Below are 23574 nucleotides of genomic sequence, written 5' to 3'. Positions count from 1 at the left end.
CGAAGTTCAAGCAATTCTCCTGCCTTAGCCTCACGAGTAACTGGGATTACAGGCATGCACCACCACACCCAGCTAATTTTTTTGTATTTTTAGTAGGGACGGGGTTTCATCATGTTGGTCAGGCTGGTCTCGAATTCCTAACCTCAAGTGATCTGCCCACCTTGGGATCCCAAAGTGCTGGGAATACAGGCATGAACCACCGCGACCGGCCCTGGCTAATGTTTTTTTTTTTCCTCTTGAGACAGAGTCTTTCTGTCACACAGGCTGGAATGCAATGGTGCGATCTTGGCTCACTGCAACTTCCACCTGCTGGGTTCAAATAATTCCCCTGTCTCAGCCTCCCAAGTAGCTGGGATTACAGGTGCGAGCCACCATGCCCCGCTAATTTTTTTTTGTATTTTTAGTAGAGATGGGGTTTCACCATTTTGGTCATGCTGGTCTCGAACTCCTGACCTCACATGATCTGCCTGCCCTGGCCTCCCAAAGTGCTGGGATTACAGGCATGAGCCACTGCGCCCTGCCTGTTAATTTTTAAATTATTTGTAGAGACAAGTCTCCCTATGTTACCCAGGTTGGTCTCAAATGTCTGGGCTCAAGCAATCCTCCTACCTCAGCCTCTTAAGTGTTGAGATTACAGGCATGAGCTACCGCACCTGGCCAAAATCTAGATCTTATAATTGGGTTCAAGTTTTTTTTTCTTTTTTCTTCTTTTTTTTTTTTGAGATGGAGTCTCACTCTGTCACCCAGGCTAGAGTGCAGTGGTGCGATCTCGGCTCACTGCAACCACCGCCTCCCAGGCTCAAGCGATTCTCCTGCCTCAGCCTCCTGCATAGCTGGGATTACAGGCACCCATGACCACACCCGACTAATTTTCGTGTTTTTAGTAGAGACAGGGTTTCACCATGTTGGCCAGGCTGGTCTTGAACTCCTGACCTCAAGTGATCTGGCTGCCTCAGCCTCCCAAAGTGCTGGGATTACAGGTGTGAGCCACTGCACCTGGCTCAAGTTTTCATTTCTCATATCCTGTTGATCTTACAACTCTTCTTCTTCTTCTGATACTCATTTTCTCTCATCAGTGTGGAAATTTATTATAGTTTATATGAAGTTTTCCTCTTCTGTCTCTTTCCTCCATGTTTGTTTTTACTTTTTTTTTTTCACATTTGTTGATTTTTATTTGCTATCACTTTTTCTTTTTCTTCTTTTCTTTTTTTTTTTTTTTGAGACGGAGTCTCACTCTGTCGCCCAGGCCGGAGTGCAGTGGCTCAATCTCGGCTCACTGCAAGCTCTGCCTCCTGGCTTCATGCCATTCTCCTGCCTCAGCCTCCCGAGTAGCTGGGACAACAGGAGCCCACCACCATGCCTGACTAATGTTTTTGTATTTTTAGTAGAGACGGGGTTTCACCGTGTTAGCCAGGATGGTCTCGATCTCCTGACCTCGTGATCCACCCGCCTCAGCCTCCCAAAGTGCTGGGATTACAGGCGTGAGCCACCGTGCCTGGCCTTCTTTTCTTTTCTTTCTTTCTTTTTTTTTTTTTTGACTGAATTTTGCTCTTGTTGCCCAGGCTGGGGTGCAACGGTGTGATCTTGGTTCACTGCAACTTCTGCCTCCTGGGTTCAAGCGATTCTCCTGCCTCAGCCTCCTGAGTAGCTGGGATTACAGGTGCCCGCCACCACGCCCAACTAACTTTTTGTATTTTTAGTAGAGACGGGGTTTCACCATGTTGGTCAGCGTGGTCTTGAACGCCTGACCTCAGGTTATCCACCCGCCTCGGCCTCCCAAGTTGCTGGGATTACAGGCGTGAGCCACTGCGCCCGGCCATGATCTCTTTTTCAATACAATTTACACCCTCATCCCCATTTTCAGTCTGATTATACAAGTGCTGTGTGACAGAAAGGTCTGGAATAAATACATAAAAAAAAAAAAGAGGCAAAGCTGTGAAACTAAGTTGCATGCAACAGGTTCTATGAGGATGGGGGAAGTGTCTGAGAAATAAAACAGAGTAAGACAATGTAGTTGGAAGGTTTTAGCTAAAGTTCTTTTCAGTCGTCTTTGTCTTTTGCTCCATGTTTCAGGATGCATGTGAACTCGATGTAATTGAAATTCCCCTTTTTGTTAATAGGCGCTTCTCTGTACAGCTCATCCACTTCCTCATCCGTAAACCGATCCCACATGGTTATCAGCAGCTCTCTCAGGTAATCTTCCTGAATAATGCCTGTTGCTTCTTCATCAAAGCAAGCAAAAGCATTTCCAATGACATCTTCAGGATCTGTGCCATTTAACTTCTCACCAAATATGGTGAGGAACATGGTGAAATCGATGGGCCCTGGTGCCTCATTCATTATGGCATCAAGGTATGCATCGGTGGGATTCTTCCCTAGGGAAACAAGCATATCATGCAAATCTTCTTTGTTGATGAAACCATCTCTGTTCTGATCAATCATGTTGAAGGCCTCTTTGAACTCCTGAATCTGTGACTGGTCAAACATGGCAAACACGTTGGATGTTGTGCGCTGAGGGAGCTTTTTGGTGGTCTTGGTCTTGCCTTTTTGCTCCACATGGTGGTTGTTTAATTCCAGCGCCAAACACCAGAAGTGGGCTGCCCTGCGCCAGACGATGAGGGAAGGCGAAGAGCACAATGCTGTGTCGTTTTTACTTTTAATTTTGGGTTTTTGCTCATGTCTGAAGTCTTCCTCAAATATCTGGTGTTCCTTAACTGGGCACTCATATTTAAGACAGAGCGGGCTGGGTGCAGTGGCTCACACCTATAATCTCAGCACTTTGGGAGGCCGAGGTGGGTGGATCACCTGAGGTCAGGAGTTCGAGACCAGCCTGACCAATATGGAGAAACCCAATCTCTACTAAAAATAAAAAATTATCCAGGCGTGGTGGTGCATGCCTGTATTCCCAGCTACTCAGGAGGCTGAGGCAGGAGAATCGCTTGAACCCGGGAGGCGGAGGTTGCAGTGAGCCAAGATCGTGCCATTGCACTCCAGCCTGGGCAACAAGAGCAAAACTCCATCTCAAAAACAAACAAACTATATGTGTGTATATATATATATATTTACATATATAACATATATATTTTACATATATTACATATATATATTTTACATATATATATTTATTTATTTCCTTATTTATTTTGTGGCCAGGTGTGGTGGCTCATGCCTGTAATCCCAGCATTTTGGGAGGCTGAGGCGAGCAGATTACCTGAGGTCAGGAGTTCCAGACCAGCCTAGCCAACATGGTGAAACCCCATCTCTACTAAAAATACAAAAATATTAGCCAGGTGTGTGGTGGTGCACACCTGTAATCCCATCTACTTGGGAGGCTGAGGCACAAGAATTGCTTGAACCCGGGAGTAGCTGGGATTACAGGCATGTGCCACCATGCCTGGCTAATTTTTGTATTTTTGGTAGAGACAAGGTTTCACTATGTTGGCCAGATTGGTCTGAACTCCTGACCTCAGGTGATCCACTCACCTCAGCCTCCCAAAGTGCTAGGATTACAGGCGTGAGCCACTGCACCCAGCCAGACAGTTTTTTGTTTTTTTTTGTTGTTTTTGTTTTGTTTGTTTTTTTGAGATGGAGCCTGGCTCTGTTGCCCAGGCTGGAGTGCAGTGGCGCGATCTTGGCTCACTGCAAGCTCCGCCTCCCAGGTTCACGCCATTCTGCCTCAGCCTCCCGAGTAGCTGGGACTACAGGCGCCCGCCACTATGCCCGGCTAATTTTTTTGTATTTTTAGTAGAGACGGGGTTTCACCGTGTTAGTCAGGATTGTCTCGATCTCCTGACCTCGTGATCCGCCTGTCTCGGCCTCCCATAGTGCTGTGATTACAAGCGTGAGCCACCGCACCCAGCCTGTTTTTGTTTTTTTGAGATGGAGTTTGGCTCTGTCAGCCAGGCTGGAGTGCAGTGGTGTGATCTTAGCTCACTGCAACCTCCTCCTCCTGGGTTCAAGCTATTCTCCTGCCTCAGCCTCCTCATTAGCTGGGACTACAGGCGCGTGCCACCACGCCCAGCTAATTTTTGTATTTTTAGTAGAGATGGGGTTTCACCATGTTGGCCAGGCTGGTCTCGATCCCTTGACCTCGTGATCCGCCTGCCTCGGCCTCCCAAAGTGCTAGAATTACAGGCGTGAGCCACCGTGCCCAGTTGACAGTTTTATTTTACAATGTCAATATTTATATAAGACACAAGATCTGTTACACTCTTTTTTTTTTTCTGAGATGGAGTCTCGCTCTGTTGCCCAGGCTGGAATGCAGTGGTATGATATCGGCTCACTGCAACCACCGCCTCCCAGGTTCAAGCAATTCTTGTGCTTCAGCCTCCCGAGTAGCTGGGATTACAGGCATACGCCACCATGCCCAGCTAATTTTTGTATTTTTAGTACAGACAGGGTTTCACTATGTTAGCCAGGCTGGTCTTGAACTCCTGACCTCGTTATCCACCTGCCTCGGCCTCCCAAAGTACTGGGATTACAGGTGTGAGCCATTGCACCAAGCCGATTTGTTATACTCTTTGCAGTTATTTAAATCAACAAGGAAAAAAATTAGATGCCAAATAAAAATATATACAAAATGGCACATAATTTTCCAAAATGTTTTTAAGGAGCATGCAAGCAAGAAAATGTGAAGACTGATAGACTAATTCTAGTGCTGCTCTTATATCCAAGCAAGAGGAGATCCTGCCTGGAGCCCCACATTTCAGAAGGCCCCACATATCATAAATGTTAAAAGAATAAATTTGGAAGGAATATATGGGTGTATCTGTTACTGAAGATCTGGTGCTCAATTCTAGCACAGTGTATGAGTTATCTATTGCTGTGTAACAAATTACCCCAAAACCCGGTGGCTCAAAACAACACACTGTTATCTGATGGCTTCTGTGGGGGAGAAATCTGGGAACAGCTTAGCTGGATCCTCTGCTTCGGAGGCTCTCATAAGACTGCAGTCTATGAGTTGCCTGTGATCTCATCTGAAAGCTCAGGGCCGGGCTCAGTGGCTCATGCATGTAATCCCAGCACTTTGGAAGGCTGAGGCAGGTGCATCACCTGAGGTCAGGAGTTCCAGACCAGCCTGGCCCACCTGGTGAAACCCGGTTTCTACTAAAAATACAGAAATTAGCTGGGTGTTGTGGCGGGCACCTGTAATCCCAGCTACTTGGGAGGCTGAGGCAGGAGAATCGATTGAACCTGGGAGGTGGAGGTTGCAATGAGGCGAGATAGCACATTGCACTCTAGCCTGGGTGACGGAGCAAGACTCTGTCTCAAAAAAAATAAAAATAAAAATAAAAATAAAAATAAAGCTTAACTGGGGAAGGTTCTGCTTCTAAGCTCACTCACATAGCTGTTTGCAGGATTCAGTTTCTAAAGGGTTTTTTGACTGAGGGTCTCAGTTCCCTGTTGGTTAGTGTTTGGAGACCACACCTAGTTTCTTGCCATGTGGGTTTCTCCAATATGGCATCTTACATCATCAAAGCCAGCAATAGAGAGGCTAGCAAGTAGAAAGTCCTGTCTTTTTTTTTTTTTTTCTTGTGATGGAGTTTTGCTCTGACTCCCAGGGTGGAGCATATTGGCACAATCTCGGCTCACTGTGACCTCTGCCTCCCGGTTTCACGCAATTCTCCTGCCTCAGCCTCCTGTGTAGCTAGCTGGGATTACAGGCATGTGCCACCATGCCTGGCTAATTTTTTGGAGTTTTAGTAGAGATGGGGTTTCACCACGCTGGCCAGGCTGGTCTCAAACTCCTGACCTTGTGATCTGCCTGCCTCGGCATCCCAAAGTGCTGGGATTACAGGCATGAGCCACTGTGCCCAGCCTACAAATAATGTTTAAATTCCCCGGATGTGCTGGCACACACCTGTAGCCGCAGCTACTCAGAATGCTGAGGTGGGAGGATTGCTTGAGCCGAGGAATTTGAGGCTGCAGTGAGCTATGATCCTGCTACTGCACTCTAGCCTGGGCGACAGAGCAAGAACCTGTTTAAAAAAAAAAAGAAAAGAAAAGAAAAAAAAGAAAGAAATGAAAGACCTCTTCAAAACTGTCAAATTCATGAGAGACAAGGAAAGACTGAGAACTTCCCAGATTGAAGGAGACTACAGATAGATATGTGACAGTCAAATGCAGTATGTGATCCTGGACTAGAAAGGACAGATAGGCCAAGTATGGTGGCACGCATCTGTAGTCCCAGCACTTTGGAAGGCTCAGGTGGGAGGATCACTTGAGCCCAGGAGTTTGAGGCTGCAGTGAGCTCTTGATAGCACCACTGCACTTTGGCCTGGGCAACAGAGTGAGACCTCATCTCAAAAAAAAAAAAAAAGAAAAAGAAAAAAACAGCTGTTAAAAGAAAAGATAATTGCACTTTGGGAGGCCTAGGCGGGTGGATTGCCTGAGCTCAGGAGTTCAAGACCAGCCTGAACAACATGGCGAAACCCCGTCTCTGCTAAAATACAAAAAATTAGCTGGCTGTGGCGGCGTGTGCCTATAGTCCCAGCTACTTGGGAGGCTGAGGCAGGAGAATTGTTTGAACCCGGAAGGTGGAGGTTGTAGTGCACCGAGATCGCACCACTGCACTCCAGCCTGGGTGACAGACCTGTCTCCAAAAAAAAAAAAAAAAAAAAGATAATTTAAAAAAGAAGAGGCGGTCATTACTGGGACAGCTGGTGAAATCTGAATGGGATCTATGAATTGAAGAGTGATATTGATTTCCTGATTAGAATGGTGTTTTAGTTTGCTAGGGCTGCCATAACAAAGTATCACAAACTGGGAGACTTAAACAGCAGAAATGTATTGCCTTACAGTTCTGGAGGCTGGAAGTCTGAGATCAAGGTGTAGGCAGGGTTGGTTCTTTCTGAGGGGTGTAAGGGAGAATCTGTTCCAGGCCTTTCTACTAGTTTCCGGTGGTTTGCTGGCAGTCTTTTGTGTGTGTGTGTGTGTGTGTGTGTGTGTTTTGAGACGGAATCTTGCTCTGTCACCCAGGCTGGAGTGCAATGGCAAGATCTCGGCTCAGTGCAACCTCTGCCTCCCAGGTTCAAGCAATTTTCCTGCCTCAGCCTCCCGATTGAGTAGCTGGGATTACAGGCACCCACGACCACGCCCGGCTAACATTTTGTATTTTTTTTTTTTTTTTTTTCTGAAACAGAGTCTCGCTCTGTCGCCCAGGCTGGAGTGCAGTGACACGATCTCAGCTCACTGCAACCTCCGCCTCCAGGTTCAAGCAATTCTCCTGCCTCCAGAATAGCTGGAATTACAGGTGCCCATGACCATGCCCTGCCAATTTTTGTATTTTTAGTAGAGGCAGGGTTTCACCATGTTGACCAGGCTGGTCTTGAACTCCTGACCTCGTGATCTGCCCGCCTCAGCCTCCCAAAGTGCTGGGATTACAGGCGTGAGCCATTGTGCTCGGCCAATTTTTTGTATTTTTAGTAGAGATGGGATTTCACTATGTTGGCCAGGCTGGTCTCGAACTCCTGACCTCAGGTGATCCACCTGTGTTGGCCTCCCAAAGTGCTGGGATTACAGGCATAAGCCATGGTGCCTGGCCTGCTGGCAATCTTTGACATATCAACCTGATCTCTGCCTTCATGGTCACATGTCATTCTCTCTATCCGCAAGCCTATGTCCAAACTTCCTTTCTTATAAAGGGGGTGAGAGGCCCACTCAACTCCAGTATGACCTCATTGAACCAATTACATATGCAACAACCTTATTTCCAAATAAGGTTACATTCTGAGGAACTGGGAGTTAGGACTTCATTATATAAATTTTATTTTTTTCCTTCGACTTTTATTTTAAGTTCAGGGGTACATGTGTGCGATGTGTAGGTTTGTTACATAGGTAAACGTGTGCAATGGTGATTTGCTGCACAGATCATCCCATCACCCAGGTATTAAGCCCAGCATCCATTAGCTATTCTTCCTGGTGCCCTTCCTTCCCCCACTCCCCCAGACAGGACCCAGTTGTGTTGTTTCCCACCGTGTGTCCGTGTATTCTCATCATCACTTGTAAGTGAGAACATGCGAACAAATGAATTCTTCACCTTTTTTTTTTTTTTTTTTTTTTTGAGAGGAGTCTCGTACTGTCAGTGGGGCTGGAGTGCAATGGTGAGATCACAGCTTACTGCAACCTCGGCCCCCTGGGTTCAAGTGATTCTCCTGCCTCAGCCTCCCATGTCACTAGCTGGAATTATAGGGGCCTGCCACCATGCCCAGCTAATTTTTGTATTTTTAGTAGATATGGGTTTTTGCCATGTTGGCCAGGCTAGTCTCAAACTCCTGACCTTGTGATCTGCCCACCTTGGCCTCTCAAAGTTCTGGGATTACAGGCATAAGCCACCGCGCCTGGCCTGATCTTGTTCTTTTTTCTTTTTTTTTTTGGCAACAACTCACTCTGTTGCCAGACTGGAGTGCAGTGGTGCGATCTCAGCTCTCCACAACCTCCGCCTCCCGGGTTCAAGCCATTCCCCTGCCTCAGCCTCCTGAGTAGCTAGGACTACAGGCGCCCACCACCACACCCGGCTAGTTTTTTGTATTTTTAGTAGAGATGGGCTTTCAGTGTGTTAACCAGGATGGTCTCGATCTCTTGAACTTGTGATCTGCCCGCCTCGGTCTCCCAAAGTGCTGGGATTACAGGCATGAGACACTGCGCCCAGCCCAGCCCTTATTCATTTTTATGGCTGCACAACATATGAATTTTTAGGAGACACAATTCAACCTGTAACACATGGTTATACTGGGGTTGAGAGCGAGATGGAACAAATACAGCCAAGTGTTGACAAATGGAAAATCTGAGTGAAAGAGGTACATGCCAAAGTTCTTGGAACTGTTCTTAAATTTTTCTGTAAGCTGAAAATTATTTCAAAATTAAAAAAATTCCAACAAGATGCTAGGTTTATTTATTACACAAGATGTTGGTGCTGAACCTACCATGTAAAGAGACAATAAAGGTGTTTGTGTGGCCTTATTGCACACTTGCCTGGGATGTAAGTGAGGGTATCAGATTAATATGTTACATTTACATAGTGCTTTATAATTTACAAAAAACCAACAACATCAAAAAACCTTTATTTCATTTATCTCTCAGAATAATTCTGGGAGGCAAGAGCTTTTTCTGATTTTATTACAAAACAAAACACTAAAGAAAGGTCATGTGACTTGTCCACAGCTTCACACAACTAAGTGATCAGTTTAAATTCTAGTCCAGGGTTTTTTCACTTTTTCGAGACTCCTTTGCAGCTGCAGCAAAAGACAATGCGGCATGACTTGAAACAACATTTTTTTTTTGAGACAGAGTCTCGCTCTGTCGCCCAGGCTGGAGTGCAGTGGAGCAATCTCGGCTCACTGCAAGCTCCGCCTCTGGGGTTCATGCCATTCTCCTGCCTCAGCCTCCCGAGTAGTTAGGACTACAGGCTCCCGCCACCACAGCCGGCTAATTTTTTGTATTTTTTTTTTTTTTTTGAGACGGAGTCTCACTGTATCGCCCAATCTGGAGTGCAGTGGCATGATCTTGGCTCACTGCAAACTCTGCCTCCCGGGTTCAAGTGATTCTCCTGCCTCAGCCTCCCAAGTGGCTGGGACTACAGGCACCCGCCATCACACCTGGCTAATTTTTTGTATTTTTAGTAGAGACGGGGTTTCACCGTGTTAGCCAGGATGGTCTCGATCTCCTGACCTCGTGATCTGTCCGCCTCGGCCTCCCAAAGTGCTGGGATTACAGGCGTGAGCCACCGCGCCTGGCCTAATTTTTTGTATTTTTAGTAGAGACGGGGTTTCACCGTGTTTGCCAGGATGGCCTCAATCTCCTGACCTTGTGATCCGCCCACCTCGGCCTCCCAAAGTGCTGGGATTACAGGCGTGAGCCACCGCGCCCAGCCCTCAAAACAACATTATAACATCATTTCTGCTCTTTTGGGGGGTGACCTGACTTCCCAAGTAAAGAAGGTATTCTTAGGCATGGTGGCTTATGCTTGTAATTCCAGAATGATGGGAGGCTGAGGTGGAAGGATTGTTTAATAAGCTCAGGAGTTAAAAACCAGCCTGGGTAACATAGAAAGACCCTGTCTCTACAAAATTCAAAAATGAGCCAGGCGTGGTGACACACACCTGTGGTCCCAACTACTCAGGAGGCTAAGATGGGAGGATTGCTTGAGCTGGGGAGATCAAGGCTGCAGTGGGCCACGTTTGAGCCACTACACTCCAGCCTGGGTGACAGAGCAAGATCCTGTAGCCCGGGTGCGGTGGCTTATGCCTGTAATCCCAGCACTTTGGGAGGCTGAGGTGGGTGGATCACGAGGTCAGGAGTTCGAGACCAGCCTGGCCTACACTGTGAAACCCCGTCTCTACTAAAGGTACAAAAAATTAGCCAGGCGTGGTGGCACGTACCTGTAATTCCAGCGACTTGGGAGGCTGAGGCAGGAGAATGGTTTGAACCCGGGAGGCGGAGGTTGCAGTGAGCCGAGATCGTGCCATTGCACCCCAGCCCGGGGGACAGGGCGAGACTCCATCTCAAAAAAAAAAAAGATCCGGTTAAAAAAAAAAAAAAAAGGAACAAGATCTTCCTATTGAGGTGAAAATGAAAATGAAATAGTTTAGGTAGGAGGCTCCAAAGGTTCCCAGTATAAGGTTCACTACTACACACACTGCTTCCTCCACCGTTCCCCCTCCCCTCCCTCAGCCTCACTTGGGCGAATCCCTTGTTTCCAGATGGGCTTCAATTTCATTACCCAACCTTCAGGCCAATGCCTGGGGAACAGGGTCAATAAAACATCTTCTTTTTTTATTTTTATTTTTTTGAGACGGAGTCTCACTCTGTCACCCAGGTTGGAGTGCAGTTGCAGTGGCATGATCTTAGCTCATGGCAACCTCCGCCTCCCAGTTTCAAGAGATTCTCCTGCATCAGCTTCCCGAGTAGCTGGGATTACAGGCATGCGCCACCACTCCCGGATAATTTTTGTATTTTAGGTAGAAACAGTGTTTCACCATGTTGGCCAGGCTGGTCTTGATCTCCTGACCTCAATTGATCCATCCGCCTCGGGCTCCCAAAGTGCTGGAATTACAGGCGTGAGCCACCACGCCTGGCCTAAGAAAAGGTCTTCAATCAGTCAAAAAAAAAAAAAAAAAAGAAAGAAAAGAAAAGGTCTTCAGTCCTTGCTCCTACAACCTCCTCAACCACATCCTCCACTGGTAGCCTCTGAGACCTGGACCATCGATGGCAAAACTTCACTCTTCTTTAAAATTACCCTGGCTGGGTGCAGTGGCTCACACCTGTAATCTCAGCACTTTGGGAGGCCAAGGTGGGTGGATCATTTGAGGTCAGGAGTTCCAGACCAGCTTGACCAACATGGTGAAACCCCGTCTCTACTAAAAATACAAAAAAATTAGCCGGACATGGTGGCACATGCCTGTAGTCCCAGCTACTTGGGAGGTTGAGGAAGGAGAATTTCTTGAACCCAGGAGACAGAGGTTGCAGTGAGCCGAAATCGTGCCACTGCACTCCAGCCTGGGAGACAGAGCGAGACTCCGTCTGTAAATAAATAAGTAAAGTAAAGTAAAATAACCCCAACCCAACAGCCAAGTCCCAATCACATACCCTTGCCCTGCTGATCCATCACGGTCTTTGTCTTTTTATAAGCCTCCCCTTGGGCTCATGCAGTCAATGATAATCCTCCCTTGGTACTGCAGAGACCAAAAGTTAGGAAGAGAGTGTTCTGGGTTATACCATCTCAAACTTAGCTGCCTGCAGACCCAGTGGGGAGAACTACTCCTGTGAGAACTCAAGTCCCCTCTGCTTGTTCCTACCCGCCTTGGTTAGGATAGACCATCTCACCCCCTACCATCCAGCCAGAAGGGGCTTTAGATCCTTGACTGACCATGGCTCACAGATGCATGGTAGGTCCATTTCCTCACTCTCTATCAGTTGGGGCCCAAGATTTTGAGCCTTGAGTCTTTGAGACTTGAGACCCAGAGTGACAGGCAGTTCTAGCTTATGCCTTCATGTTGGGCCTTCAGTTTCCAAATCACAGAATTATACTATGAAAAAGCTGAATAGAGTTCATGGATCATTTAGTCCAGACCTTTCACATCACACTGGATGTTTAAATAATTGATCTGAAGGCTCATAGGGTCCTTTCTCTTTTCTCTTAGGTGTGGGAATTAAGGTCAGGACTGGCAGGTGCAGGACTTGCCACAGCCATGCTCCTTAATCCTGGCAGTGCTGAGCAAGGCCTTGCATCCCAGCCCCCTGATCCAGCCAGCTGTCTGACTGTGAGTCAGGATGGCAGAGGAAGGTGATGTGGACGAGGCGGATGTGTTCCTGGCATTTGCCCAGGGTCCCTCCCCTCCCAGGGGTCCCGTGCGACGTGCCTTGGACAAGGCTTTCTTTATCTTCCTGGCCCTCTTCCTGACACTGCTGATGCTGGAGGCTGCTTATAAGCTGCTGTGGTTACTACTATGGGCAAAGTTAGGGGACTGGCTCCTGGGGACACCTCAGAAGGAGGAGGAGCTGGAATTGTGACCACCTTTCCTATAAACATCTTCTTTCCCCACCAAGGAGGTGAGAGGGGAGACAGGAGGGAAATGGGAGTGTTGGGGGCTATGGAGGAGATGCTTGGATAGCTTAGGGCAGCAGTCTTTTTTTTTTTTTTTTTTTTTTTGAGATGGAGTTTTGCTCTTGTTACCTAGGCTGGAGTGCAATGGCACAATCTTGGCTCACTGCAACCTCTGCCTCCAGGGTTCAAGGGATTCTCCTGCCTCAGCCTCCTGAGTAGCTGGGATTACAGGCATGCGCCACCGCCCCCTGCTAATTTTGTATTTTTAGTAGAGACAAGGTTTCTCCATGTTAGTCAGGCAGGTCTCCAACTCCGACCTCAGGTATCTGCCTGCCTTGGCCTCCCAAAGCGCTGGGATTACAGGTGTGAGCCACTGCGCCCGGCCAGGGCAGCAGTCTTAAATTCTGCACCTATACTCAGGGAAATAATTTTGAAGAAGTATATACTCCTTCATATATCTTTAAGTAGGTATCTAAAAATTTTCATCATAAATTAAAATTGTGGCCGGGCACAGTGGCTCATGCCTGTAATCCCAGAAATTTGGGAGGCCAAGGCAGGGGGATCACCTAAAGTCAGGAGTTCAAGACCAGTCTGGCAAATATGGTGAAACCCCATGTCTACTAAAAATACAAAAATTAGCCGGGAAAGTTGGTGGGCACCTGATTCTCTGCCTCAGCTACTCAGAGGCTGAGGCAGGAGAATTGCTTGAACCCGGGAGGCAGTTGCAGTGAGCCGAGATCGCACCATTGCACTCCGGCCTGGGTGACAGAGCGAGACTCCTTCCAAAAATAAATAAATAAATAAATAAAAATAAAAATAAATAAATAAAAATTGTTTCAAGGATGTAATTCTGGCATATTGAAAATATTCACATTTTATTTATTTTTTAATTTTTATTTTTTTTTTGAGATGGAGTCTTGCTCTGTCGCCCAGGCTGCAGTGCAGTGGTGCAATCTCGGCTCACTGCAACCTCTGCCTCTGGGGTTCAAGCAATTCTCCTGCCACAGCCTCCTGAGTAGCTGGGACCACAGGTGTGCACCAGCACCCCTAATTTTTATATTTTTAGTAGAGATGGGGATTTCACCATGTTGGCCACGCTGGTCTTGAACTCTTTTTTTTTTTTTTTTTTTGTGACAGAGTCTCCTGTTGCCCAGGCTGGAGTGCAGTGGCAGTGATCTCTGCTCACTGCAGCCTGCCTCCACTTCCCAGATTCTAGCGATTCTCCTGCCTCAGGCCCCCAAATAGCTGGGACTACAGGTGTGTGCCACCGTGCCCAGCTAATTTTTGTATTTTTAGTAGAGACAAGGTTTCATCATGTTGGCAAGGCTGGTCTGGAACTCCTGACCTCAAGTGATCCGCCCACCTCAGCCTCCCAAAGTGCTGGGATTACAGGCATGAGCCACTGCGCCCAGCCTATTTATTGATTTATTGAGATGAGGTCTCACTATGTTGCCTAGGCTGGTCTGTAATCCTGAGATCAAGCAATCCACCCACCTCAACTTCCCAAAGTGCTAGGATTATAGGCGGTGAGCCACAGCTGGCCACATTTTATTTTATTTATTTATTTTTTGAGACAGAGTCTTGCTCTGTCACCCAGGCTGGAGTGCAGTGGCACCATCTTGGCTCACTGAAATCTCCGCCTCCTGGGTTCAAGCGATTCTTCTGCCTCAGCTTCCCAAGTAGCTGGGACTAAAGGCGCGAGCCACCACGCCCAGCTAATTTTTGTATTTTTAGTAGAGACGGGGGTGTCACCATATTGGCCAGGCTGGTCTCGAACTCCTAGACTTCGTGATCTGCCTGCCTCGGCCTCCCAAAGTGCTGGAATTACAGCATGAGCCACTGCACCTGGCCTATTTATTTATTTTTTTGAGACACAGTCTCTCTGTGTTGCCCATGCTGGAGTGTAGTGGTGCGATCTTGGCTTCCGGCAACCTCTGCCTCCCGGGTTCAAGCGATTCTCCTGCCTCAGCCTCCCAAATAGCTGGGACTACAGGCGCCCGCCACTACACCCAGCTAATTTTTTTGTAATTTTAGTAGAGACGGGGTTTCATCATGTTGGGCAGGCTGGTCTCGAACTCCTGACCTCAGGTGATCTGCCTGCCTCGGCCTCCCAAAGTGCTGGGATTACAGGTTTGAGCCACCACGCCCGGCCTATTTTTTTATTTTTTGAGACAGAGTCTTGCTCTATCGCCCAGGCTGGAGTGCAGTGGCGTGATCTTGGCTCACTGCAACTTTTGCCTCCCAAATTCAAGGGATTCCCCTGCCTCAGCTCCCAAATAGCTGGGATTACAGGCGCCCACGACCACGCCTGGCTATTTTTTGTATCTCTAGTAGAGACGAGGTTTCCTCATGTTGGTCAGGCTGGTCTCGAACTCCTGACCTCAAGTGATCTGCCCGCCTCGGCCTCCCAAAGTGGTAGGATTACAGGCATGAGTCACCATGCCTGGCCCCACATTTTAAAATAAAACAATTAGATCACCATTTATTGTCCAGTGGAATTGAAATATCATAGTGATGGCCGGGCACGGTGCTTCACGCCTGTAATCCCAGCACTTTGGGAGGCTGAGTTGGGTGGATCACGAGGTCAGGAGTTTGAGACCAGCCTGGCCAACATGCCAAAAACCCATATCCACTAAAAAAAAAAAATACAAAAAATACAAAAAATTAGCTGGGCATGGTGTTGTGTGCCTGTAATCCCAGCTGCTCAGGAGGTTGAGGCAGGAGAATCGCTTAAACCCGGGAGTGGGAGGTTGCAGTAAGCAGAGATTGTGCCATTGAACTCCAGCCTGGGCGACAGAGCAAGACTCCATCTCAAAAAAAAAAAAAAAGTATAAATTAGTTCTTACCAGTTGGGAATCATTCCTTTTTTCTTTCATCACCTCTTTTTTCCTTGAGCTCCTACTACTACTCCACTTCCCCACAAACTTTATGCTTTTATACTTGAAAGTCCTTTATTGACCAATCTTTTACATCTTCCTGCATATACATGTATATTAATTGAGATGAAAAATATCTTTCTTGTGATTGTAAGACTCTAGTTGTTAAAAATTATTCTGGAGGAGTTACTGTTACAATTATTATAAGAACAGAATGTTCTTATAAACATGTGATCGTACACTTTTTTTTTTTTTTTTAAGACGGAGTCTCGCTCTGTCGCCCAGGCTGGAGGGCAGTGGCGCGATCTCGGCTCACTGCAAGCTCCGCCTCCCGGGTTCACGCCATTCTCCTGCCTCAGCCTCCGGAGTAGCTGGGTCTACAAGGCGCCCACCACCACGCCCAGCTAATTTTTTTTTTTTTTTTTTTTTGGTATTTTTAGTAGAGACAGGGTTTCACCGTGTTAGCCAGGGTGGTCTCGATTTCCTGCCCTCGTGATCCTCCTGCCTCGGCCTCCCAAAGTGCTGGGATTACAGGCGTGAGCCACCGTGCCTGGCCGATCGTAAACATTTTTATAACTGTTAAAAAGAAATATTTAATAAGATAGTAGTCTGGGAGTGGCGGTTCACGCCCATAATCCCAGCACTTTGAGACGCTGAGGTGGGAAGATTGCTTGAGGCAAGGAGCTCAAGATCCATCTGGGCAACACAGTAAGACCCTGTCGCTATAAAAAACCTTTTTTTTTTTTTTTTTGAGACAGAGTCTTGCTCTGTCGCCAGGCTGGAGTGCAGTGGCTGATCTCAGCTCACTGCGACCTCCGCCTCCCGGGTTCAAGCGATTCTCCTGCCTCAGCCTCCCGAGTAGCTGGGACTACAGGCGCGTGCCACCAAGCCCAGATAATTTTTGTGTTTTTAGTAGAGACGGGGTTTCACCATGTTGGCCAGGCTGGTCTCAAACTTCCGACCTCAGGTGATCCGCCCGCCTCGGCCTCCCAAAGTTCTGGGATTACAGGCATGAGCCACCGCGCCCAGCCTCCACAAAAAACTTTTTTTAAAAAAATTAGCCAGGTGAGGTGGTGTGCGCCTGTAGTCCTAGCTACTTGAGGTGGGAGGATGGCTTGAGCCCAGGAATTTGAGGTTACAGTGAGCTATGACCGTACCACCGCATTCCAGCCTGGGTGATAGAACAAGACCCTTTTTTTTTCCTTTTTTTTTTTTTTTTTTTTTTTTTTTTTTGAGATAATCTCGCTCTGTCGCCCAGGCTGGAGTGCAATGACGCGATCTCGGCTTACTGCAACCTCCGCCTCCCGGATTCGAGCGGTTCTCCTGCCTCAGCCTCCTGAGTAGCTGGAGCTACAGGCGCCTGCCACCACGCCCAGCTAATTTTTTTGTATTTTTAGTAGAGACGGGGTTTCACCATGTTGGCCAGGATGGTCTCGATCTCTTGACCCCATGATACGCCCACCTCGGACCCCCAAAGTGCTGGGATTACAGGCGTGAACCATCGCGCCCGGCCGACCCTGCATTTAAAAAAAAAAAAGACAAAAGAAAGGAAAAAAAAAAAAAAAAAAAAGAAAAGGTGGTATTCATGGTGCCTTGGTGAAAGAAACAGGGTACATTTCCCTTTATTTTAAACAGGTAAGATTACCCCCAGGAGATTTCATGGTTGAGAACTATACTTTTGAGGGGGGAGGGGAAAAAAGAGAACTATTCTTTTTTTTTTTTTTCTTAAGAGGGTGACTCTATTGTAAAAGGAGAAGTGAAGAATGAGAACCTGTACTGCAGGTGTTTCCTTAGGAAGACCAATTTTGGGAAAGTTGAGGTTCTTGAAATTAAATCCCTTACATCTTCCAAGTCCCAGTCCTCGCGGAGAGTTTTTATGTTCCCCATTTTGAAAGCTGTAGACTTTGACGACTGGAGAGAAGTGATGTGGGATTGTTCAACGGACGGGTGTTTGCGATTCTAGGACTCAGCGTTAGGGATCTAATAAGCTCTGTGACCCTAGTTAAGTGGCAAGATGCCCACCACTTGTGGAAATGGGAATCTTAGCGATTGGGACCCTGTTAATCTTTCTGGTTTCCTCATAAGCTCACCTCTGGACCCAGCCTTGCCTCCACGAGTCCCTCCAGCCTCCCTAAACACAACGAGGTGGGTATCAAATCTGTTTCTTCATCCTTCATTCTTTTTTCCCCTCTCCCCGAAGAGGAGGAGGAGGAGACCCAAAGTATTTTATGAGCCTCATTTCGCCTCACAGCAGCCCTCGCAGCGGCAATTTGCACAAACTCTCCTCCAAGCCCCACCCCATCATCGCCCATCCGCAGACCCTAGGCCTCCCACGACAAAGCACGGCCACCTGGTCAGCACAGACGGCCCTTCGAGGACCCCCTCTGGAGAAGAACCATTCAGGTCCCAACGGTCTGGCTGGTCATTAGTTCTGTGGTGAAGCTTGAAAAGCAAATCAGCAACAATAGTAATAACAATAACACTTTTATGGCGCGTTGTGCTCATTTGTACGCATGTGTTATAACGATCGCGGGACGCAGCACCTGGCAGTAGAAACAGCTGCTGGACAGCGGCAAGGAGCGCGCCGCCCTTGCAGGGGAAGGGGCTGGGTCAGCCGAATAAGCCGTGGAAATGGGAACCTGGGGGACAGGAAAGCAGGGCCAGATAGCTTGCCAATAGCCCAACTGAAAGAAAAGGTTTTACTTCCCTTTTAAGAGACTTCTGCCCTTCCCTGAAACTCTGCACAGCTTTGGAAAGCCCAATTCCTAATCCACCCTGTTCGGTTCCCCTGCCCCTCCTTGGAAACGAGGCTCGGTCCTCCCTACGCGCTACTCTCCGGCGGTTGGGCCCCAGGCAGGAAGTTTCTGATTGGCGGAGTCGTAGAAGCACCGGGTGAAAAGAGCTCCACTGGCTGCGCACCGGAGTCCGGGCGTAGCCAGTGCCGTACGGCAAAATGGCGGCCCCCAGCTGCTTTGGGACGCCTGGGTTCGGGGAGACAAACTCCGACCTGGAAGAGACCGCTGACTATGTGGGCCGCACTGGAGGTGTTCGCGGGGCGGGCCTACTGTCACCTCCGGCCACAGGAAGCCTGTGTTCCGTACGACAATATGGCGGCGCTTAGTTGCATGAAGGCGGAAACTCTGTGACTTCCGGTCCGTAGTGGGGCCTGCGGTGGGAGTGGGAAGGAAGGCGGAGGGAACCATGCGAGGTTCTGAGAATTGCGGCGAGGGTCGCCTCGAGAGACGGTTTCTGAGGTGGGGGCCGGACGGTGCGGGGATCAGAGGCGGGGGCGGGGATATAGAGGGAGAGGTATTGGGGAGAGCTGGGCGCTGAGTCTGAGGGGAAAGCTGTGGTACCTTCCTGTCCCTGAAAGGGAGTGGAGCGGCCGGGGGCTGAACTGGGGGAGGGGGATTTGGCGGGAAGCGCATCTAGCGGACCGGCCGGACCCACGGTTGGGATCTAAGAGGAATCGCGAGAGCGTAGCGCGGTGCGGGGGGACTTTTGATCAGTTACGGGTCACCGAGAGAATGGGGAAAATTAGGGTGGGGTGAAAGGGAGGGGACTTGGGTAAAATATCTTCAACCTAAAGCCCCAGTTTGAGGAGACTCATCGGAGGGTGAAATATGGAGATAATTCAAGGAGGAGAAAAGAGAACGGACTGTTGGGAGGGAACCTCTTTCACCTCAGAGAGTCTAGGAGTTGGGGTGATCATTCAGGATAGGGTGGGTGTGGGGTTGACTTGTTTGAGAGCAGAGGGGGCAAACACATGAGGTGGCGCCCACAGGAGTGTGTTGTCTGTGCAAGGGGGTGTCAGGACGATTTGGGGTGCAGTGTGGGAGGAAGAATCAACTTGCCAACTCTAAGAAATAGGGGGGAAATGCAACAGAAAGACCGGAAATCGACGTGAGGGGTGGAGCAGAAGGTGGCAACTTAAGGTGTGGGGGTGGTTTGCCCCCCCCCCACACCACTTGAAGGGCCCCAAAAAGCATATAGAACTAATGGTTATTGAAATCAGGTGGTGAAGACAGTGTTGGTCAGGGCTGGATGTTACTGAAACCCAAGGAGTTCAGAAAATGTGTGAGGTGAAGGGATGGGGCTATGCTGGAGGGGCTCATTCTGAGGCCCCATCCCCTTCCAGCAGGAATTCTGAAATCCCCACCACTTCCTCCCTCCGGGGGATTTGATCCCCTATGGCCACCGCTAACAGCATCATCGTGCTGGATGATGATGACGAAGATGAAGCAGCTGCTCAGCCAGGGCCCTCCCACCCACTCCCCAATGCGGCCTCACCTGGGGCAGAAGCCCCTAGCTCCTCTGAGCCTCATGGGGCCAGAGGAAGCAGTAGTTCGGGCGGCAAGAAATGCTACAAGCTGGAGAATGAGAAGCTGTTCGAAGAGGTGAGCTTTAGCGGGGAAGATTGTTGTACCCCAGGGAGGGGGATGGCTGACTGGTTCTCCTGTCCTTTCTTTCCCACTAACCCCACCTCCCCTTTCTCTCAACCCCCTCCCTTGTCTCTCTTCCCCTTCCTTCTTCCCCTGAACCTTCTAGTTCCTTGAACTTTGTAAGATGCAGACAGCAGACCACCCTGAGGTGGTCCCATTCCTCTATAACCGGCAGCAACGTGCCCACTCTCTGTTTTTGGCCTCGGCGGAGTTCTGCAACATCCTCTCTAGGGTCCTGTCTCGGGCCCGGAGCCGGCCAGCCAAGCTCTATGTCTACATCAATGAGCTCTGCACTGTTCTCAAGGCCCACTCAGCCAAAAAGAAGCTGAACTTGGCCCCTGCCGCCACCACCTCCAATGAGCCCTCTGGGAATAACCCTCCCACACACCTCTCCTTGGACCCCACAAATGCTGAAAACACTGCCTCTCAGTCTCCAAGGACCCGTGGTTCCCGGCGGCAGATCCAGCGTTTGGAGCAGCTGCTGGCGCTCTATGTGGCAGAGATCCGGCGGCTGCAGGAAAAGGAGTTGGATCTCTCAGAATTGGATGACCCAGACTCCGCATACCTGCAGGAGGCACGGTTGAAGCGTAAGCTGATCCGCCTCTTTGGGCGACTATGTGAGCTGAAAGACTGCTCTTCACTGACCGGCCGTGTCATAGAGCAGCGCATCCCCTACCGTGGCACCCGCTACCCAGAGGTTAACAGGCGCATTGAGCGGCTCATCAACAAGCCAGGGCCTGATACCTTCCCTGACTATGGGGATGTGCTTCGGGCTGTAGAGAAGGCAGCTGCCCGACACAGCCTTGGCCTCCCCCGACAGCAGCTCCAGCTCATGGCTCAGGATGCCTTCCGAGATGTGGGCATCAGGTTACAGGAGCGACGTCACCTCGATCTCATCTACAACTTTGGCTGCCACCTCACAGATGACTATAGGCCAGGTAGGGGGTTGGTGGGATGCCTCTCAGTGACCCTTATATGTCAGGTATGAGGCGGATGGGGCATCTCTCTAGTCCTTTCTAGGGTTTTTACTCTTCTAGTCCCTTCAAGGGCTGAGTGCTCTGACTTTATGTCTTCCCACGTAGGCGTTGACCCTGCACTATCAGATCCTGTGTTGGCCCGGCGCCTTCGGGAAAACCGGAGTTTGGCCATGAGTCGGCTGGATGAGGTCATCTCCAAATATGCAATGTTGCAAGACAAAAGTGAGGAGGGCGAGAGAAAAAAGAGAAGAGCTCGGCTCCAAGGCACCTCTTCCCACTCTGCAGACACCCCCGAAGCCTCCTTGGATTCTGGTGAGGTGTGGATGGGGTACAGCCTTCAGAGAGACATTGTCCTTCCCCTGCACTGGCCACCAGGGAGTCCAGGTTGACTGATGGGGGAGCATGAGAAGGAAAGCAAGAACCAAACCCTCTGGGGCAAGGGATTCCTTAGAGAAACTTCTTTGTCTCCCAGGGCCCTAGTGGAATGGCATCCCAGGGGTGCCCTTCTGCCTCCAGAGCTGAGACAGATGACGAAGACGATGAGGAGAGTGATGAGGAAGAGGAGGAGGAGGAGGAAGAAGAAGAGGAGGAGGCCACAGATTCTGAAGAGGAGGAGGATCTGGAACAGATGCAGGAGGGTCAGGAGGATGATGAAGAGGAGGACGAAGAGGAAGAAGCAGCAGCAGGTATGTCAAGGGAACATTCTCCTCACCTGTCATTTCTGTTTTGTTAGGCATGAGCCACCTGTTTGAAACCTTTCCCTTCCTCCTCCTAGTGTCCTCTCAGCAGTATTTTTTCCCCCTCATTCTCAGGCTACCCTCTCCCCTTTTCTTCTTTTCCAGGTAAAGATGGAGACAAGAGCCCCATGTCCTCACTACAGATCTCCAATGAAAAGAACCTGGAACCTGGCAAACAGATCAGCAGATCTTCAGGGGAGCAGCAAAACAAAGGACGCATAGTGTCACCATCGTTACTGTCAGAAGAACCCCTGGCCCCCTCCAGCATAGATGCTGAAAGCAATGGAGAACAGCCTGAGGAGCTGACCCTGGAGGAAGAAAGCCCTGTGTCTCAGCTCTTTGAGCTAGAGATTGAAGCTTTGCCCCTGGATACCCCTTCCTCTGTGGAGACGGACATTTCCTCTTCCAGGAAGCAATCAGAGGAGCCCTTCACCACTGTCTTAGAGAATGGAGCAGGCATGGTCTCTTCTACTTCCTTCAATGGAGGCGTCTCTCCTCACAACTGGGGAGATTCTGGTCCCCCCTGCAAAAAATCTCGGAAGGAGAAGAAGCAAACAGGATCAGGGCCATTAGGAAACAGGTAATAACAAGAGGAGGAGGAAGAGGGAAGCCAAGGAGGGATTGCAGGGGACTTTCGGAGAGCAATACTGGGGAACTGAGTCTGCTGGGAGAGACTGGACTGCCCCCCTCCAGCCTCAGTCTTCCCGTACCCCTCCACATATTTATGTTTCTGTTTCTAGCTATGTGGAAAGGCAAAGGTCAGTGCATGAGAAGAATGGGAAAAAGATATGTACCCTGCCCAGCCCACCTTCCCCCTTGGCTTCCTTGGCCCCAGTTGCTGATTCCTCCACGAGGGTGGACTCTCCCAGCCATGGCCTGGTGACCAGCTCCCTCTGCATCCCTTCTCCAGCCCGGCTGTCCCAAACCCCCCATTCACAGCCTCCTCGGCCTGGTACTTGCAAGGTAAGAAGGGGAGGGCGTGTTTCCTCTGACAATTTGTTCTCTTTCATTGGCTGTTTCAGCTGCTCTGTCTGAATATTCCACGTGCCACATCCTGTCTCTTCCTTTTTCCCACCCATTTTATCCTCTAAATCCTCCTGTTTCTTTTCTCCTGTACTCCAGATCTCTTTGACTCTTTGTCTCTCACTTCCCTGCAGACAAGTGTGGCCACACAATGCGATCCAGAAGAGATCATCGTGCTCTCAGACTCTGATTAGCTGCCTCCCCTTCTCCCTGCCTCCAGAATGTTCTGGGATAACATTTGGAGGAAGGTGGGAAGCAGATGACTGAGGAAGGGATGGACTAAGCTAATCCCCTTTTGGTGGTGTTTCTTTAAAAAAAAAAAAAAGCTTAAGTTTTACACAGAAACATTAATAAACAATAAAGTTCTTTTCTTACTGTATCACTGTCTTTTTCTTGTCCTTCTACTGTTACAGATTGGCATTAGCTGTCCCCTTGCTCAGGGTTAGCCCAGTATCCCCGGGGTAGTCCCGCTCTGTCCTTTCTAGCCTGGCCTTTTTTTTTTTTTTTTTTTTTTTGTCTCGCTGTGTCGCCCAGGCCAGGGTGCAGTGGTGAGATCACAGCTCACTGCAGCCTGGACCTCCCAGTCTCAAGCGATAATGCCTCAGCCTCCCGAGTAGCCGGGACTACAGGCGCGTGCCACCATGCCTGGCTAATTTTTGTTTTTGTTGTTTGTATTTTTTGTAGAGACGGGGTTTCGCCACGTTGTTCAGGCAGTACTTTTTTTTTTTTTTAAGTGCTTCAGCCGCCTTAACGCACTTTACTTTTTCACTTCGTGCAGTAGGAGTGAGAAAGCCAATGAGGGGCCGACTCAAGGTTATTTAGCCAATCCAGGCCCGGAGAAAGGGGGCGGGGCTTCAGTGGGACTGTAAGGAGCTAGGAAGAGGGCGATTAGATCCCACCAACCAGCTAATGGTCACAGCTCAGAGGCGGAGCCTGGGGAACGATACCTGGACCCATCGCCAATGGGAAAAGGCA

The 23574-nt window shown here is 49.1% G+C and overlaps 2 protein-coding genes, 1 long non-coding RNA gene and 1 pseudogene across 7 annotated transcripts; 2 read left to right on the top strand and 2 right to left on the bottom strand.

The window, feature by feature from the left end:
- MYL12BP3 (MYL12B pseudogene 3) lies at positions 1825–2573 on the bottom strand (annotated as a pseudogene).
- Positions 12257–17908, top strand: SMIM40 (small integral membrane protein 40). The gene is made up of 3 exons (NM_001369203.1): positions 12257–12549; positions 17506–17565; positions 17672–17908. The coding sequence occupies exon 1, from the start codon at positions 12271–12273 to the stop codon at positions 12508–12510; it is 240 nt and encodes a 79-aa protein (NP_001356132.1). The 5' UTR covers positions 12257–12270; the 3' UTR covers positions 12511–12549; positions 17506–17565; positions 17672–17908.
- LOC124901303 (uncharacterized) lies at positions 17889–18862 on the bottom strand. The gene is made up of 2 exons (XR_007059547.1): positions 18777–18862; positions 17889–18586 (listed from the first exon to the last, which is right to left on the bottom strand). It is a non-coding gene; the product is annotated as an uncharacterized LOC124901303 (long non-coding RNA).
- Positions 18577–22978, top strand: DAXX (death domain associated protein). Of its 5 annotated transcripts, none has more exons than NM_001141970.2 (8): positions 18577–18674; positions 19628–19817; positions 19969–20800; positions 20945–21156; positions 21312–21525; positions 21682–22156; positions 22317–22539; positions 22734–22978. In NM_001141970.2, the coding sequence occupies exons 1-8, from the start codon at positions 18622–18624 to the stop codon at positions 22791–22793; spliced, it is 2259 nt and encodes a 752-aa protein (NP_001135442.1). In that variant the 5' UTR covers positions 18577–18621; the 3' UTR covers positions 22794–22978. The 5 variants fall into 5 exon arrangements, with proteins under 5 accessions (NP_001135442.1, NP_001341.1, NP_001135441.1 ...); NM_001350.5 differs by having other exon boundaries at positions 19562–19817; NM_001141969.2 differs by having other exon boundaries at positions 19559–19817.

The sequence above is a fragment of the Homo sapiens genome, chromosome 6 (assembly GCF_000001405.40).
Source record: "Homo sapiens chromosome 6, GRCh38.p14 Primary Assembly".
In the NCBI taxonomy this organism is placed as follows: Eukaryota; Metazoa; Chordata; class Mammalia; order Primates; family Hominidae; genus Homo; species Homo sapiens.
Note: the sequence above shows the minus strand (reverse complement) of the source record. Positions and strands in the feature narration are given on the sequence as shown.

Excerpts from the sequence above, each read along its gene's own strand:
- SMIM40 (NM_001369203.1), top strand. The coding sequence starts at position 12,271 with ATGGCAGAGGAAGGTGATGTGGACGAGGCGGATGTGTTCCTGGCATTT.
- DAXX (NM_001141970.2), top strand. The coding sequence starts at position 18,622 with ATGCGAGGTTCTGAGAATTGCGGCGAGGGTCGCCTCGAGAGACGGTTT. Across the intron at positions 18,675-19,627 it reads CTCGAGAGACGGTTTCTGAG|CATCATCGTGCTGGATGATG; the intron begins GTGGGGGCCGGA and ends CACCGCTAACAG. Across the intron at positions 21,157-21,311 it reads CCTCCTTGGATTCTGGTGAG|GGCCCTAGTGGAATGGCATC; the intron begins GTGTGGATGGGG and ends TTTGTCTCCCAG.